The sequence below is a fragment of the Homo sapiens genome, chromosome 10 (genome assembly GCF_000001405.40).
Source record: "Homo sapiens chromosome 10, GRCh38.p14 Primary Assembly".
Classification (NCBI taxonomy): Eukaryota; Metazoa; Chordata; class Mammalia; order Primates; family Hominidae; genus Homo; species Homo sapiens.
Genome location: NC_000010.11, coordinates 121,600,051 through 121,618,239, shown reverse-complemented (window position 1 = coordinate 121,618,239; position 18,189 = coordinate 121,600,051). Strand labels below are relative to the sequence as shown.

At 49.5% G+C, this 18,189-nt stretch overlaps 2 annotated features.

The window, feature by feature from the left end:
• Nucleotides 6,493-7,692: an enhancer, noted in NCBI's record as "BRD4-independent group 4 enhancer chr10:123370062-123371261 (GRCh37/hg19 assembly coordinates)". NCBI's record gives its function as "activates an origin of replication core promoter dependent on BRD2, P300/CBP, MED14 and CDK7 cofactors, and independent of BRD4, by STARR-seq in HCT116 cells {active_cell/tissue: HCT116}" and the evidence as "EXISTENCE:reporter gene assay evidence [ECO:0000049][PMID:35650434]".
• Nucleotides 9,293-9,532: a silencer, noted in NCBI's record as "silent region_2885". NCBI's record gives its function as "represses an Ori minimal core promoter by ATAC-STARR-seq in GM12878 lymphoblastoid cells {active_cell/tissue: GM12878}" and the evidence as "EXISTENCE:reporter gene assay evidence [ECO:0000049][PMID:35858748]".

Sequence of the window (18,189 nt, the reverse complement as noted above, 5' to 3'; positions counted from 1 at the left end):
AAACCACGATTCCACTTGTGGTCCTGCCTGAGGTCAGGTTCCCCATGAGCTAGACTCTGAGGTCAAGATTTGTACACAGGAAGCTTCCTGAGGTGCTGGCCTTGGGATCCCCAGCCACGGAGGAGTGAAGGAGGTGGAACTTGGTGCCAGTGAACCTGCCTTGGTCAAGGCAAAAGCGCCTGGAGCTACTGTGGTCTTTCAGAGTTGTCTCCCGTTGGGTGAGGGGCCAGGCCTTTCTGTGCTCCCACCCTACCTCACCCCAACAACTAGGGTGACCACCTGTCCCTCACCCCAACAGCTAGGGTGACCACCCATCCCAGGACTAAGGGGGATCCTGGGATGTGGGCCTTTCAGTGTCAAACCTGAGACAGTCCCTGCAAACTGGGATGAGTTGGTCACCCTAAAACAAGTTGGGGAGGGAGGGGCGTCTCTTCCACACAGGGCAATTCCCCACAAGGGACTGGGCAGAGAGTCGCTGCCAACTCTCACGGCAGTGGCTCAGCCCTGAGGGAGGATCTGGGCACCTCTGTGTCATCCGCCACAGCAATTTATTCGTGTCCTCTGAGTGTTTCTGGCTGTGTTCACGTGAGAGCTGTGACAGGCCCAGACCTCTTTTGGGGTGTTGGGGGCATGGTGGCCCCTTCTGCCTGAGCTGTTGTGGGGAGGGGTTAGGGTCTAAGGTTAGTACTGAAGGCGAAAACCTTGTTTAGTCAGAATTCCCCTTGGAACTCTCTGGAGAGATGCTTGGAGACTATGTGCTGTTTCCCATAAGCCCTGCACCACCAGTTTTTCTTCCGGGACTGGAGCTGCTCTCTGGTTTTCTGAGCAGCCGCACAGTGGTTGGTTTGTCTGTGGGAGCCAGGCTGTCACCTCGGTGCTGGGAGGTGCTGACACCATGGCAGTCACTCAGACGCCTGACAAAGGGGACAGTGATTCCTGACTTTGGAGTCCTGTCACTGCTGCTGGACAAGCCCATGAACTAGGATGGCCATTCGGACACCCTCCCCCGCTCTCCCTCCTCCTCTCTCTTCCTCTCCCCTCTCCTCTTTCACTCTTCCTCCCTCCCTTCCTCCTTCTCCTTTTCCAAGCACAAAACCCTTAACTCGAGGTTAAAGCAACCCACTGAATGGTAGAAAGACCTTCCAGCAATGAATCAGACCCACCTCTGGGTCCCTTTCTGTTACTTAGTAGAGGAGGCCTTGGCCAAATCCCCAAGACATCTCTGGGTGTCTGTTTCCCAAAACCTGGCCTCTGTGTCCCCTGGACTATAAGACGCTTGAAGGCAGCCACTGTCTCACTCGCCGTTGTGTGGCCAATGAGCACTCAAAGCAGGACCCAGCTCCAAATGCGCTACCAGTTAATGAATACATGAATTAATGAATGAATTAATGAATTGATGAAGCCTTAGAGGGCTTCACGAGGCCCCTCTTTGTGGACCAAAAGCACATGCATAAATGCCCTTCATGATGGCGCAGATGAATGGAGGAGGTGATGAAGCCCCTGGTACCTTCTGCCAGCCTCAGCTTGAGAAGGGGTGAAGCCCAGAACCGAATTTTCTCCTGATCTGTCTGCATGCCCCACAAGGGGACGTAGGCATGGGATGTGGCAGATGTTTGCCCATCTAAGGTGCCTCAGAGTCACAATTAAGAGGTAATCCCTACTTAAATGTCTCAGGTCGCCTCTCACCTGGCTCACCTAACCTCACTTGCTCTTGGCTGGGCTGCACCTGGCAGGTGCTTGTGGCCGCCTCCGGGATCAGTTGAAGATGATCATGTACGTGGCTTGCACCGTGGGCCTCCTGGGTTCTGCTGGCGACTGTACTAGAAGGATCTGCTGCTTGGACTCTCCCTCCCCCACATCCTAACAGAGAACATTCCTCGGAGCAGAACTTTTACACGCAGGCCCATAGGTGGGGATCCATAAACGAGGTTTATTAACCAGCTGAACGGTGAGTCGTCAGGACCAGGGCTGTGAGGCTAGGAAGATTCGGTCAAACACCACCACATTTGTTTATTTTTTTTAAAGTTTCTGAGCGAATGTATATTTCGGCATGTTTAGAGATTGGCAGCCCTGGAAAATGAAGTTTATTTATCCTCTAGATACACATTACATAAACAGCTGCAACAGCCTTCCTGCCCCATGTGGTGTTGGCTCTCAGCTCTGACCTGCGGGCCGCGCTCTGAGCCCAAAGGTGGCCCCATTTAATCACATACTCTTCCCTTAGTGGGGCCTGGGCTGAGCCTGTGGGAGGTGAACAGCCTCCTTCTGGGACCAGGGTGAGGTTGAGACCAAGCCTCGACTGCAAGTGGTGGTGGCTTCCAGAATCTTCTCTGGTGGCCTCAATTCACGTCCAGGTTTCCATTTATGTATTCATGTAATAAACAGTTATTGGTCTTTTCCAGGCCTTGGGTTACACTCTGATGATGCCAGGATAATCAGACCAGCCTCTGGGAGACCCTCCCCACCAGGGTGAGAGCCTCGGGGGGGGCAGTGTCCTGCGACGGAGGATGATTTCCCTTAGGGACATCTTTCAGCCCAAAACGAGCCTGCCTGTCTCTTCCATTCCCCCTGCAGCAACAGCTGTCCCTCATCCTCCCAGCTCTGTTCCCATCTGGCCTGGGGAAGTGAGCTTAAGGATTTTTCCGGAAACGAGGAGAGGTCAGCATGCTGAAGTGTTTGGAAGGCATCCGACGGAATGACGGCTGAGGCCCTCACTCTCCACTGAACTCTGCTTGCGGCTGGGGACTGCTCTGTGTCTGCACGTGTTCGCATTTATTAAATGTGGAGGTGCAAAACAAAACAAAACAAAACAAAACCAGTGAGATTTCTGGACTGCTGATGGAATCTATCAAATCTCTCCTCCTCCTCATTATAAGGCAGGCCCCCACATAGTAAATGCGCAAGGGTGGTAAGCTGCCAGTACCTAGGGGCTTGTATGTCACGCAGATCCCAAAGAATTATGGCCCCTGGAAGGCCAACTTGGCAAGAGTGCTTGGATGTTATTGTTGTTCTTTCTAGGAAGAGCAGTTCATGTTTACAAGAAGGATTGTTATTGGACCAAGATAGGCAGGGGGTGCAATTTTTTGCCTGAAAATTGCTCTTCTTCCGAACCTTTCAGCCACTGAGTCAGCACCTTGCTTTATCTTCCTTTCTCTCTGACAGAGTTGAGTCTTCCTTCTGCATTTCCTCATAGACAGGCTCTGTTTCCAGCCAGCTGAGCAGTACAGTCCATTCCTATCTTTAATCACCTACCTTGCCGATGGGTGCAGCACGTGAGGGCGGCCTCTCCCAGAGCAGGTGGGACTTGAAGGATGGCCAGGATGCAGATTTGGATTGGCTGGGAAAAGGGAACGGGCACTGCAGGCTGGGGGCCAGGCTGAGTAGAGGTGTGGAAGGGAAGCTGAGCATGAGATAGGAGGGGCAGTCAGGAAGGAGGCTGGGAGGAGGCCTGCTTTCTCAAGCTGTCATCACACATTCACTTGCTGTCCCAGTCCATACCCACAGGGACCCAGACAGCATCAGAGACTTGACTTGCGCATTGCCAACTGCTACTGTAGATTAAGTGGGCCAGAGGTCAGGCCTTGTGCTAACTGCTTCTCCAGCGTTACCTGTGCTTTGGGTTCAATTGTGACCGTCCTCCTCTCCTGCCAAAAAAATATACAGGTGATCATTCTAACTCCTCTTATCTATGGATGTAACCTTATTTAGAAATAAGATCTTTGGGCCAGGTGCAGTGGCTCACGCCTGTAATCCCAGCACTTTGGGAGGCCCAGGTGGGCAGATCACAAGGTCAGGAGCTCGAGATCAGCCTGACCAACATGGTGAAACCCCGTCTCTACTAAAAATACAAAAATTAGCTGGGTGTGATGGACTGTGCCTGTAATCCCAGCTACTCAGGAGGCCGAGACAGGAGAATCGCTTGAACCCGGGAGGTGGAGGTTGCAGTGAGCCGAGATCGCGCCATTGCACTCCAGCCTGGGCAACATGAGTGAAACTCTGTCTCACAAAAAAAAAAAGAAAAAAAAAAAAAAGAAAGAAAAAGAAAAGAAAAGAAAAAGAAATAAAACCTTTGACTTACTTTGAGACCAAGGTGAGGCGAGTGGATCATTTGAGATCAGGAGTTCAAGGCCAGCCTGGCCAACATGGTAAAACCCTGTCTCTACTAAAAATACAGAAAAAAAAGTAGCCAGGTGTGGTGACACATGCCTGTAATCCAGCTACTCAGGAGACTGAGGCAGGAGAATCGCATGAACCCAGGAGGCGGAGGTTGCAGCTGAGATCACGCCACTGTACTCCAGCCTGGGTGACAGAGCGAGACTTCATCTCAAAAAAAGAAAATAAAAAAAAGAAAAAGAAGTAAGATCTTTGCAAATGTCCTCAAGTTAAGATGAGGTCATTAGGGTGGGCTCTAATTCAATATGACTGGTGTCCTTATATCAAGAGAAAGGTGTGGACTTAGACGCACAGGGAGAACGCAGTGTGACTGAAGCCACTGAAGTGCTGCAGCAGCAAGCCAGGAACGCCAGGGAGTGCCAGGGAGTGCCAGGGAGGGCCAGGGAGCGCCAGGAAGGGCCAGGGAGGGCCAGGGAGCGCCAGGGAGGGCCAGGGAGCATCAGGGAGGGCCAGGGAGCACCAGGGAGGGCCAGGGATGGCCAGGGAGCACCAGGGAGTGCCAGGGAGGGCCAGGGAGCATCAAAGAGCACCAAGCAGGGCCAGGGAGCGCCAGGGAGGGCCAGAGAGGGCTGCAGTCACCAGGAGCTGCAGGAGGAGAGAAAGGATTCTTTGCTAAGGCTTCAGAGGGAGCACAGCCCCATGGACAACTCGATTTGGGGCTTCTAGCCTCCAGAACGGTGAGACAATAAATCCCTGTGGTTTTAAGCCACCAGGTTTGTGTCCTTTTGGGAAATGGACACACCTTGTTTTACCCTATAACATCCTTCCCCAGCTGCAGGAGGCAGAATAACACCCCCTCCAAAGACATCCATGCCCTCTACCCCAGAATTGAGTAAAAGGGACTTAGCAGATGGAATTGAAGTTATTTTAAAATAGGGAGATGATTAAGGTGGGCCCAGTCTAATCACATAAGCCCTTAAAAGCGGAGAACGTTCTCTGGCTAGAGGCAGAAGAGATGGGGTAGAGGAAGGAGAGAGATTCAGAGAGTGAGAGGGATGTGATGTGTCCTTACTGGCTTTGAAAATGGAGTGGGGGAGCTGAGCAAGCACCCCACCAACCCACCACTGACCACCAGGAAGGAAACAAGACCTGAGCTCACTGCACAGGACCTGAATCCTGGCAACATCGTGAATGACTTTGGAGGCAGAGTCTTCCGCACAGCCTCCAGTGAGGAACGACGCTCTGCCGACACCCTGATTTCAGCCACCTCCATCCAGACCTCTGACCTACAGAGCTGCGAGATAATACATTTGTGTTGTTCTTTAAGCCCTTAAATGTGTGGTAATTTCTTATAGCAGTGATAGAGAACAAATATGCCACCTATAAAACAGATGCAGCAACTGAGACCCGGGCACCGAGGTTTGGCAACCTTGCCCATGTTCTGAGAACTGGGCAGGGGAGAAGCTGCTGTGGGAATCCAAGTTTGAGGGAAACCAACATCCATGTGGCTTACTTCTCTGAAGCTGAAGGAATTTGTGGCAAATTTGGACGATGGGTAAACTGAGTCCAAATAGGAGAGTGACATGACAGGGAGCTGGCAGAGGGGAAAGGAGGGATGCCAGGGAGATCTGTGATCTCTCGGTTGGCACAGGGGTGGTGCCCATGGCAGACAGCTGATACTGAGGAATTGCTGGTTATGAGAAACCGCTGGAAACCCACCAGGCTTGAGCAGGTAGCAGGCTCTGATGGGCACGGTGGCTCATGCCTGTAATCCCAGCACTTTGAGAGGCCAAGGCGGGTGGATGACTTGAGGTCTGGAGTTCAAGACCAGCCTGGCCAACATGGCAAAACCCCATCTCTACTAAAAATACAAAAATTAGCCAGGCGTGGTGGCAGGCGCCTGTAATCCCAGCAACTCGGGAGGCTGAGGCAGGGGAATAGCTGGAACCCTGGAGGCAGAGGCTGCAGTGAGCCAAGATGGCGCCATTGCAAACCAGCTTGGGTGACAGAGTGAGACTCTGTCAAGAAAGGAAGAAAAGAAAGAAAAAGGAAGGAAGGAAGGGAAAGAAAGAAAGAAAGAAGGAAAGAAAGAAAGAGAAAAGAAAAGAAAGAAGAAAAGAAAGAAAAAGAAGGAAGGAAGGAAGAGAAAGAAAGAAGAAAAAGAAGGAAAAAGAAAGAAAAGAAAAAAGGAAAGGAAAGGAAGGAAGGAAGGAAGGAAGGAAAAAAGAAAACAGGCAAACAGGCTCTGAGAATCAGAGCCAGGTAGAGAAGCAGGGCAGGCACTGGAAACAGCCAGGAAAGTGAATGGTGTGGGCACCTCTGTAGCAGGAGGTTGGTCGGCTCCATTTTAGATAAGGGGCTCTATTTCACCCACCAGCTCCCACTGGATGACAGAGCAGGGGAAGAAACACAGTGGCCGTCTCAGGCTTTGCTGGCAGTCTCTCCTAGATCCTCACAGCAGCCCTGGGCAGGAAGGCCGATGTCGTATCATTCCCTGGTGACACGGTTTCTGGGCTCTGGAAAATGGATGGCGGCTCTGTCTGGCTCTGTCTAGCTCCAGGCAGCCCTGTTTGGCGGCGTAAATGACGCTCCACATGTAGCAAGACTCCGTCCAGGGAAGTGACCACAGCTGCACATGTCATATACACTTGACATCCCAACAGTGTTATACATCACTCCCAATAGTGCAGACTAAACACCAGGGGTTATTACTTCATTCAGGAGGAAACGCAGACTTAGAACAGATGATTACAGTTATCACCAAATATTCAATAGCTCTGTCAATACATAAATTGATCACTATGAAACAGGCCCAAGCTGCCACAACAGTGGCTCTGGAAACCAACCCCAAGGAAAACATGACAGAATTTCTGGTCAGGCGCGCCTCCCAATACTAAAAGGGGTTTTTGGGCATAGACAGGCGGGAAGGAGAAGGGTGTTAGTTCTCAATGATTTCCTGGAAGAATGATTGTTTCCCTTGGACTTGCCCGGACTAGTCAACCTGTGGGTGTGGCTTCTAGCCAGCACAGCATTGCCATATGCAATACAGCATACTTGGTTACATCTGGATTTCAAATACACAATGACTATCTTCATAGATGTATGTCCCATGCACTATTTGTTCATGCGATAGTGGGGACCTATTTATACTAAAAACAATTATTTGTTTTTCATCTGAAATTCAAGTTTAACTGGGTGTCCTGTACTTTTATCGGCTCAATTCGGCAGTGCTCTGAAGTCATGTCTTATCTGATTCAGAGGAGATGAGGGTAACCATTATCTTAATGCTTGCTTGAAGCACACAGAGGAGTTTTACAAAGAAAACAAATGGATCCTTTCCTCGTATACAGAGGATTTCTTTAAATAGAAATTTAAAGCAAAAGATAACTCAGTTGGATAAGGTGAAGAATTTGCTGACCGTCATGAGTCAACACTGGAATGAATTTCTACGTGATGCTAAGAAGAACTTTAGAAGAATGTGAGCAAGTCCCCTGCCCTGGACAGCCTAAGCTGCTACTGAAATCAATACCATTATGGGTGAATTTTGAAGATGATTACCGCTAATATTCACAGCCTACAAATAAGGCCACAGAAGCTCATAAAAGCCGAGTAACCTACCCCAGGTCACACAGCAAAGAGAAGTAGCAAGTAATAAGGTCAGGGGTAGGATAGGGTTAGACAGAGCTGCAGAGGGAGGTCTGGATGCCTCTGGTCTGGAAATACTAGTACCAGCTGACAAGTATTGATCATTCACCATGCACTCAGCACTTCACCTGAAGTATTCCATTCAATCTGCGCAGATTGTGTGAAGCGGGTATTAGCATGACTTCATTTTACAGATGAGAACGTGGTGAGGAGGGGCAGATGTAAGGCCCAGAGCAGGCAGCTGGACTCCAGGTCCCATGATCTCAGCCACTATAGGACAGCAGAGGGTGCAGCCTGCTGTCCACAGGCCCACTAGAAAAGGAGTCAACATCTGAAAACTGGGACAATTGTCATCTGGATGGGACAGCCAACTTCTCTGGGAAGATCAGGAGAATCAGCCCCTTTAGCCTCTGTTTCCATTCATCAGCTGAAGTCACTACCCCATCACCGTCACGGGGACGCTGGCAGCATAAGCGATAGCACAGGCTCCAGGGTCAGCCCTCCCTCCCGACTGTGTAACCTTGGATGAGCTCTCAGTGTTTCCATAGCACGATTTATAAAATGGGGGTCACAGTAGTGCTACCTCACAGGGTGCTTGTGATTGAAGTGTGATCACCCATTAAAGGCCATAATCCCAGTTGCATGGAACATGGTATGCACCCAATAAACGTCAGCCTCCAAGCACCCACTCTGTGCTAAGAGGGCCGTTGCCATGGTTCCTGAAAATGTGGAACCTTCAAAGCTTCCACTGGCCTGATGAAAGGGCAGGACAGGGGTCCCCACCTCTGGGCAGGGTGACTGGCAGGGGAGAGACCAGAGGCGGAGGCTGCCCCAAATCTGGCAGGTACCTCTCCAGGGCAGCTGTGGTGAGACTAGGAAGGAAGCAGGTGTGGTGGCTTTCAAGAGAGGACAGCTCCAAGGGGTGCAGTAGCGCAGGCCTGTAATCCCAGCACTTTAGGAAACTGAGGCGGGTGCATCACGAGGTCAGGACTTCGAGGCCAGCCTGGCCAAGATGGTGAAACCCCCGTTTCTACTAAAAATACAAAAATTAGCCAAGCATGGTGGCACATGCCTATAATCCCAGCTACTCTGGAGGCTGAGGCAGGAGAATCGCTTGAACCCGGGAGGTAGAGGTTAAAAAAAAGAGAGAGAGAGAGAGGACAGCCCACAGCTAGGACTGCCGGGCCTTGGTGGGAGAGGAGCGCCAGAGAACACCAGGGCCAGAAGGCCCAACAGGGGGCCGGAGGTAGGAGCTGGTTTCCCGGCGAGGGTGCAAAGGTGGTTCTCCGCCTTGTTGATCCACAGGCTGGAAACGTGGGGCCGCCTCCCGGGGGCGAATCCACGCAGCGAATGGAGAATTAGCCTGAGGTAGCCGCACGCCAGGCCCAGGCAGAGGCCGCTGCAGCACCACGTCCCTGCAAGGTCCCGCGCCCCAGCCGTCGGGGTAACAGACATTTCGTCCAGCTGTGCTTGGGCAAGCACCTGGGCTCCTGATTCGCCTCGACCTGGGTCGCTCATCATCTGCACAGCCGAAACGACTTCAGGGCTGGGCTCGGCGCTGGCGGGGCTGCCCCTCCTCCCTGCCCGGCCGCCCTCTACCTTGATGCCAGCCCCGTCACCCACGCCCCGGGCGGCGCTCGCCCCCGCTTTGCGCGCGCGGTGCTCGCGGCCACACGGGGGCGCTGGCGCCCGATGCGCTCCTCCCTGCGCAGAACCCGGAGAACAAAGGGCGCCCCGGGACCTCGGCCTCCCTCACCTGGAGCCACCTGCTTCCCGGGCGCTGCCCCAGCGCCAGGCCAGCATCCGGCCTCCGCGAAGGAGTTAATTTTTGCTCAGCGCTGCTCTTAGAAATCTGTTAAAGAAATCGCTCCCCACTTGATGGTCTTTCTCCCCAGCTTGGGGACACAATACGAGAGCTCTGGGACTCTAAAAGGGTTACTAGGTTTGTGGTTTTACGATGTGTGGGGCTCTGTATTCTCCACTCCCTCCCCGAGTTTACCAGGATCCTGGCAGCATCATTTTTCTCCCCTTTGGTTTATGAAAGTGAACTTCTTCTTTTTTTTTTTTTTTTTTGAGACAGTCTCACTCTGTCAGCCAGGCTGGAGTGCAGTGGCGCAATCTCAGCACACTGCAACCTCCGTCTCCCGGGCTCAAGCAGTTCTGCCTCAGCCTCCCGAGTAACTGGGATTACAGACGTGTGCCACGACGCCCGGCTAATTCTTGTATTTAAGTAGAGCCGGGGTGTCACCATGTTGGCCAGGCTGGTCTCGAACTCCTGACCTCAGGTAATCCGCCCGCCTTGGCTTCTCAAAGTGCTGGGATTACAGGCGTGAGCCACCGTGCCTGGCGAAAGTGAACTTCTTTTCACATTTGGAAGAAGTAGACACACCCTCGGGAAAGAGTGTAGCAAAGGCAGAAATCAAGAGAAAAGAGAAAGAAACGCATCGTGGAAATGAGGTAATTGCAGGGAAAGGTAACTTCCTCACACAGCTCAATCAGCTTTGTCCTAAACTGGCTTCTATTCCCCACCTTCTAAAGAGACCGTGCTCACTGTGTACACAAACCTATGTACATGTGCCTCTTTGCACTTATGCTTTAATTAGGAAATGCTGGAGGAGGCTGAGTTGCAGTCATCAATCAACAAGCATCTATTAAGAGCCTGTAAGGTATAAACACAGCCCCATAAACTGCTCCCACTAGCCAGGTAGTGCCAGGTCCTGGGAATCTAGAGATGGGAGATGCAGCCCCGGCCTTTCTGAGTATTAGCATTTAGTGGTCCCCAATTAACCCCTTTCCACCAAAATTGTTGTCCAAGGTCAGTTTCTGCTAGGCTTTCTTCCATGGACAGGCTATCTTGGTTCAGTAAAGCCTTTCCTCCCTCTGGGCTTGAGGCTGAAAGCACACAGTTGTGAATCTCTGAGGATTTGAGGGAGCAGGAATCCTCGAAGGGAGGAATTTAGGGCCCATAGAAACTCCCACTGAGACCAGGAGCTGCTTCCAGGGGGCCCCAGGATCAGAAGGTGATGGTGCAGACTAAAATCTTTTTTTTTTTTTTTTGAGACGGAGTCTTGTTCTGTGTCCCAGGCTGGAGTGCAGTGTCGCGATCTTGGCTCACTGCAGCCCCCACCTCCTCAGTTCAAGCGATTCTTCCGCCTCAGCCTCCCGAGTAGCTGGGATTACAGGCACATGCCACCATGCACAGCTAATTTTTGTATTTTTTAGTAGAGACCGGGTTTCACCATGTTGGCCAGGCTGATCTCAGACTCCTGACTTCAAGTGATCCGCCCTCCTCAGCCTCCCAGAGTGCTGGGATTACAGGCGTGTGCCACCATGCCCGGCTAAAATCGTTTTCATTGTCAACAGTAAGACCTGTCCCGTGTATCTCCTGCACCGTTCTCCATCTAAGGAGTAGAATTCTTGTCCCTACCTCCACCCTGGTAAGGCAAGATGCCCATTTAGGGCATGGGGAGCAGTCCAGGGGTGATGAGCGGGGGGACCTGGAGAGGGAGAGCAAGAGCAGTTCCTGGGGACTCCTCTGACTAAGGAGGTCTTCTTGGAGGAGGAAGCGGAAAGCAGGGTGTGCTCTCTAGCACAGCCCAATACATCGTCTGCCACGTTGAAAATACCCTATAATACTGCACTCTCCAATGTAGTGGCCTGGCCCCATGTGACTGTTGAGCACTTGAATTGTGGCTGGTGCTACTGAGGAGCTGAAGTCTTATTTAATTTTAATTGATTTAACTTTAAATAATCATGTTGGCTGGTGGTTAACGTTATCAGACAGCATAGCTTCAGGCAGCGATAAGGGTGTGGGTGGGGTGGGAGCAGACGGGATATTGTTGCTAATCTCATCCTCATCTACCCCACCCTGGCTAAAACCACCTGTATAGTTTCTGTCCAGTGAGCTGGGAAACCTCGTTGTGGTGGAAGTGGTCGTGATGTGTGGAGGGTGGGGGTGATTGAAAGGCACGGAGTCACAGCCAAGAAATGACATGCCATAAATTGCCCTTAAATAGCAATGGGCCAGGGATTAGAGGACTTTTCCGGTAGATACTTGTTACCAGTAGGAACAGCACGGTTCCTAGACTATGGTTTCAGAATACTTTGGAGAGGATGTTCACTTCCTGTAACACCAGGGTGGCCTTCAGTGATGGGTGAACCACAAGTTTTCAGCTCCAGGTGGAGGCGGGGAATGTTCAGAGATAGGCCGGAGATCATAGATAAATTTATTTTTAAGATAGAAGGGGGACACTTCAGTTATGCAAAAGAAGGTGAGGCCAAGGTTAGGGGTGGGATGAGGCTTGTTCAGTAACTTGCCTAGACTTGCATAGTTAGCCCTTGACCACGTTGGGATAAAAACTCAGGTCTTGGGGGCCCTGACTCAGTGCTGTTTCTATGGCACCACATTACTTGTCAAAAATACCTTGAGACCTTGGACATTGTAGATGTTACATGCAGCTGGCTTGGCCAACCAGCTAATTGACCTACCAGTTTTCCTTCATAGATTCAGATTGGCAGAAGCCAAAGGTAGGAATGTGTTTGTGGCCACAGGGGTGGCACAAGGGACAGTACTGGGGTCAGAGTCCATAATGCCCTCCACTAGAGTTCCCCCAGGTTTTAATTGTGAAATTGTTTAAACATTAAGAAAGTTGGGTGAATAGTGCAATAAGTAATGTATACTCTCAACTGTATAGTGTCAAGAGTTAACATTTTGCATATTTGCTTTATCTGTGTGTGTTTGTCCTTTTTTTTCCTGAGCCACTTGAAAGTCAGTTGTAAACATCAAGCCATTTAATCCTTTAAACTTTGGCATGGATCTCATAAGAATACAGAAAATTTCCTACAAAGCCAAGCTGTCATAATCTTATGTAAGTGAATTAACAACAATCTCTAATATTCAATCTCTAATATTAATATGATCTCCTATCTGGACAATATTAAAATTTTCCCAATTATCCCCCCCCCCACTTTTATAGTGATTTCTGCTTTTGTTTAATTTTTTTAAAAACACAGAATGCATTCAAGTTTCCCAAATTGCCCTTCCGTTGCATTTTGGGCAACAAACCCGATTACTCATTTGTAAACTGCAAATGTGTCGCAGAGTTTTAAGTCTTAATTTCTCAAATGCAAGTCTTAGTAATTCTTAAAAATTTTTCACTTCCACTTGTTATTGACAATAGTCGTTCTGTGAACCACAAATTGCTCCTTTATTCCTCCCCTATTTTGAAGACTATGCAGATTCAGCAGATGAAACTGTAGGTGTGTGAAAGAGGTGTCTAACAAGCGTATGCACCTAAACTTGAAGGCTCTTTGAAATATTAACAACAATAATAACCCTTACAGAAATCCTTCTTGGAGCACTTGAAGGAGGAGAAGTGAGCTGAACTCATGGTGAGTGGGTAATTGTTTTCTGGAAATAGTAACAGTTTCAGAGGCAATGAATGCTACTTGAAATATCTCCATTCTGGCCGGGCGCGGTGCCTCATGCCTGTAATCCCAGCACTTTGGGAGGCCAAGGTGGTTGGATCACCAGAGGCCAGGAGTTCAAGACCAGCCTGGCCAACATGGTGAAACCCTGTCTCTACTAAAAATACAAAAATTAGCCACGTGTGGTGGCGGGAACCTGTAGTCGCAGCTACTTGGGAGGCTGAGGCAGGAGAATCGCTTGAACCTGGAAGGTGGAGGTTGCAGTCAGCTGAGATTGCGCCACTGCACTCCAGCCTGGGCAACACCTGGGCAAAAGAATGAGACTCTGTCTCAAAAAAAAAAAAAAAGAAAGAAAGAAAGAAAGATGTGGAATCCCCTAGAAAGAGCCAATTGCCTGGCATTGGATGGGTGAGACTCACCTGCCATGGTGGACTTGTACTAGTGGCCATTGTAACCCCAGCTGAGTCAGGAACACAGACTTTTCTGGGTTTTGCTGCCATTAACCAGAGGGGTGACTTTGAGCCCATCATCCCTCTGTGTGCCCTGCTTTCTTCCCCTGTAAAATCCAGGGGTCATACTTGATGCGCTGTCATAGGTTTGACATGCACTTCTTCACCTTTAGGCCTGGTCTCCTTCGGAAGAACAACCTGTGCCGTTCAAGTCACTCAGAAATTCAAGAAATGGTTAGAGCAGGGCAGCCTTTATTCAGATGTCCCTAGTGGTTTTCAAGAAGCTCTTTCCTTGGGAACAGAGGTGTCTTTGCTATCTCTTAGCTATTTAATAGGGTCAAAGAGGATTCAATGAACTGGGATGTGACAAGCACTTAGACATTTTTATTTGTATGGTCCTCATGGTATTGAGAAACTCTTTGGCACATGGGAAGGTTACGTGTTTTCTATGATTATTCTTAGCCATATACAGTGGTTTGTTCACCCTTATATGTGGTTCTCCTAGTAGGAAAAGTGTCTTCTGCCTGGCACTGTCCTTGCCTCCCCCTGGACCGCTGCTGGGGAGCAGTGGGCACTGATGGGCATTGTGACGCCTCCTGTTTGGATGTTTTTTCCTACGCTTACACACTATGAGAAAGTTTAATTTCTAAATTAGGCACAGTAAAGTATTAATAATAGGCCAGGCACGGCGGCTCATGCCTGTAATCCCAGCACTTTGGGAGGCTGAGGCGGGTGGATCAGTCAAGGTCAGGAGTTTGAGACCAGCCTGGCCAACATGGTGAAACCCCGTCTCTGCTAAAAATACAAAAATTAGCCGGGCGTGGTGGCAGGCACCTGTAATCCCAGGTACTTGGGGGGCTGAGACAGGAAAATCTCTTGAACCCGGGAGGTGGAGGTTGCAGTGAGCCGAGATGGCGCCACTGCACTTCAGCCTGGGTGACAGGGCGAGACTCTGTCTCAAAAAAAAAAAAAAAAGTATTAATAATAATAAACTAATTAAAAAAGGACAGTTATAATAAAAGTTATATGAATATGGTCTCTCAATTAAAATATCTTATTGTACTATGCTCACCTATTTTCAGACTGCAGCTGAACTCAGGTAACTGAGGGTAACTGAAACCATGGCAAAGGAAACTGCATATCAGGGTGGACTACTGTGTATGGATAGTAATCCTCAAGAGACTTGCTCGTGTGTCAAAGTTTCTCCAAACCATGAGGACCACCTGAATAAAAATGTCTAAGCGAGGCTGGGCATGGTGGCTCACGCCTGTAATCTCAGTGCTTTGGGAGGCTAAGGAGGGAGGATCACTTGAGGCCAGGAGTTTGAGACCAGCCTGGGCAACATAATGAGACCCCTGTCTCTACAAAAAATACAAAAATTAGCTGGGCATGGTGGTGCATGCCTATAGTCCCAGCTACTCAGGAGGCTGAGGTGGGAAGCTTGCGTGAGCTCAGGAGTTGGAGGCTGCAGTGAGCTGTGATTGTGCCACTGCCCTCCAGTCTGGGTGACAGAGAAAGATCCTGTCTCAAAAAACCGAACCAAACCAAAACAAAAACAATTAAGTGCCGGGTGCGGTGGCTCACGCCTGTAATCCCAGCACTTTGGGAGGCAGGTGGATCACTTGGTGAAATGCCATCTCTACTAAAAATATAAAAAAATTAGCCGGGCGTGGTGGCAGGCGCTTGTAGTCCCAGCTACTTGGGAGGCTGAGGCAGGAGAATCACTTGAACCCAGGAGGCAGAGGTTGTAGTGAGCCAAGATCACGCTACTGCACTCTGGATGACAGAGCAAGACTCCATCTCAAAAAAAACCAAAAAACAAAAACAAAAACAAAGGCAAAAACAAAACAACCAAAAAAACCCGAACAAATAAAAAAACAAAAACAAAGAAAAACTAAGTGCTTGTCACGTCCTAACTCATTTCATCCTCTTAGTGATCCTATTAAAGATCTAGGAGAGGCCGGGTGCGGTGGCTCACGCCTGTAATCCCAGCACTTTGGGAGGCCGAGGCGGGTGGATCACGAGGTCAGCAGTTCAAGACCAGCTTGGCCAAGATGGTGAAACCCCATCTCTACTAAAAATACAAAAAATTAGCTGGGCGCGGTGGCAGGCACCTGTAGTCCCAGCTACTCAGGAGGCTGAGGAAGGAGAATCATTTGAACCCTGAGGGTGGAGGCTGCAGTGAGCCGAGATCGTGCCACTGCATTCCAGCCTGGGTGACAGAGTGAAACTCTGTCTCAAAAAAAAAAAAGAAAAAAAAAATCCAGGAAATAAGAACCATTATTTTCCCCATTTTACAGCTGAGAAAATGGAAAACTCAGATAACTCAAGCAACTGGCCTGAGGTAACACAGCGTTTGTTTGTTTGTTTGTTTGTTTTTTTTGAGACGGAGTTTCTCTCTTGTTACCCAGGCGGGAGTGCAATGGCACGATCTCGGCTCACCGCAACCTCTGCCTCCTAGGTTCAAGTGATTCTCCCGGCTCAGCCTCCTGAGTAGCTGAGATTACAGGCATGTACGACCATGCCCAGCTAATTTTGTATTTTTAGTAGAGACGGGGTTTCTCCATGTTGGTCAGGCTGGTCTTGAACTCCTGACCTCAGGTGATCCACTTGCCTCGGCCTCCCAAAGTGCTGGGATTACAGGTGTGAGCCACCATGCCAGGCCTTTTTTTGTTGTTTTTTGAGAGGGAATCTTGCTCTGTCACCCAGGCTGGAGTGCAGTGGGGCGATCTCAGCTCACTGCAACCTCAGCCTCCTGGGTTCAAGCGATTCACATGCCTTAGCTTCCAGAGTATGTGGGATTACAGGCATGCGCCACCACAAGCGGCCAATTTTTGTGTTTTTAGTGGAGACGGCATTTCACCATGTTGGTCAGCCTGGTCTCGACTTCCTGCCTTCAAGTGATCCGCCTGCCTCGGCCTCCCAAAGTGCTGGAATTACAGGCGTGAGCCACTGCGCCCGGCCACAGGTCACAAAGCTATTGAGTAAAGAAAGCTGCATCCAGCCTCTCACCTTAAGAAAGCCATTCCCCTTTGCCTCAAAGTGAGGCTATACTTCCAGAAGGACTTTGTCTCCGGGGAAGCCTTGGCTTTGGAATTCAGGCCCAGTTCTAAGTTTAAAATCATTGATGCTGTTCAGTAGTGGGATCAATGATTTTGCTTCACTTAAATGCCACAAGCTCCCTGAAGATGGGCTGGAGCTGTCACAGCATCCAGCCCCTCCCCTTACCCAGAAGTAAATACTCTTATCATAGTCCTCCGACTATTCTATATCCTTCCATTTGAGTGCTTCTTTTATGCCGAGGGCACTATTGAGATGTAGCTTAGAGAATGAAATTCCTGGTGTTGCAGGGAGCTCAGATCCACCCGGGAAGGTTCATGAGCACTTCATGTCAGCAGCCTTTATTTCATCTAACGTTTCCATAGAGTGAAGGAACAGCCACCCATTACAAAACAAATTATTAAAAGAAAAATTCCAAATCTTCAAAGGAGAGAGGCCCATGGTAGTGAGCGCTCCCACCCCCTTCTCCTTTCTCTTCCCATCACCAACGGGCTAGCAGCACAATTTGTTTCTTGAAACTTTTGGGGGCATCGGAGTTCTGGTGTCCTCATTTTTCTTCCTTCCCATTGATGTATCATTACTAGAGTGAAAAAAGAAGGGCGTCTCGAGGGCTTTTGAAAAAAAAAAAGGGTGACTACTCAAGACATTTTGTAAAGGGGGGAAAATTGCGAAGAAAAGAGACCTCAGTAGGGGGTGGAGGAACTGTGAATGTGTCCTTGTCTGGCGGTTCTTTCAGCTGAAACCTGGTGCTGGCGTTCGCAGTTCAGTTCAAACTGTCACCTTTAGTTCTTACTGGCTTTTCTGCCCTTGCCCCAGAACCTCAACAGATTGGGGCTTATTTACCTATTCACACTCCGCCGTGGAAGCTCATTAATAGGCTTTATTAGCAACACCATTCATGGGAGGCCATTGACGAAAGGGGTTCCAGCCACTTGAAGAGGGAAGAGAAAAGAAAAAACTGTAAAGAGATTATTTTCTCATTCAGAAGCCTCAGTGGTGTGAAGGTTTTCCTGGATGGTCTGAGGTCACTTGAAGACTAAATATGGGGACATAATTGATTTTTTAAAAATAATTCTAAACATACTTCCCCCCCCTCCTCAAAACTGAAGAGTTTCCTGTTGTGGTCTTGTGGGTTTCAGTCCCTTATATATGAGCCCTCTTTAGGGAATAAGGAGCTTTTGATAGATTGGTGTCTTTTCATTTCTATAAAAAATACATTCTGCAAACTGTGCCTGGACATGAAAGTAGGTGTTCTTATTTGTCATTTTCAGCGGAAAGCTTCCTTTCCATTCAACATGCATAAAGCTATTGATGAATGGGGGATAGGGACAGCGGCTTCCTGCACCATTAATTTATGTGAGAATGTGTTAACAGCATTTTCAATGGCTGATGGATGCGGTGTAGGATGGGAAAGGAACTGTCCTGAGACACTCGAGTTTCCCATTGGTGGGGAATATAAAGATGTAAGTGGCAACCTGCGAGCAGGCAGACACGT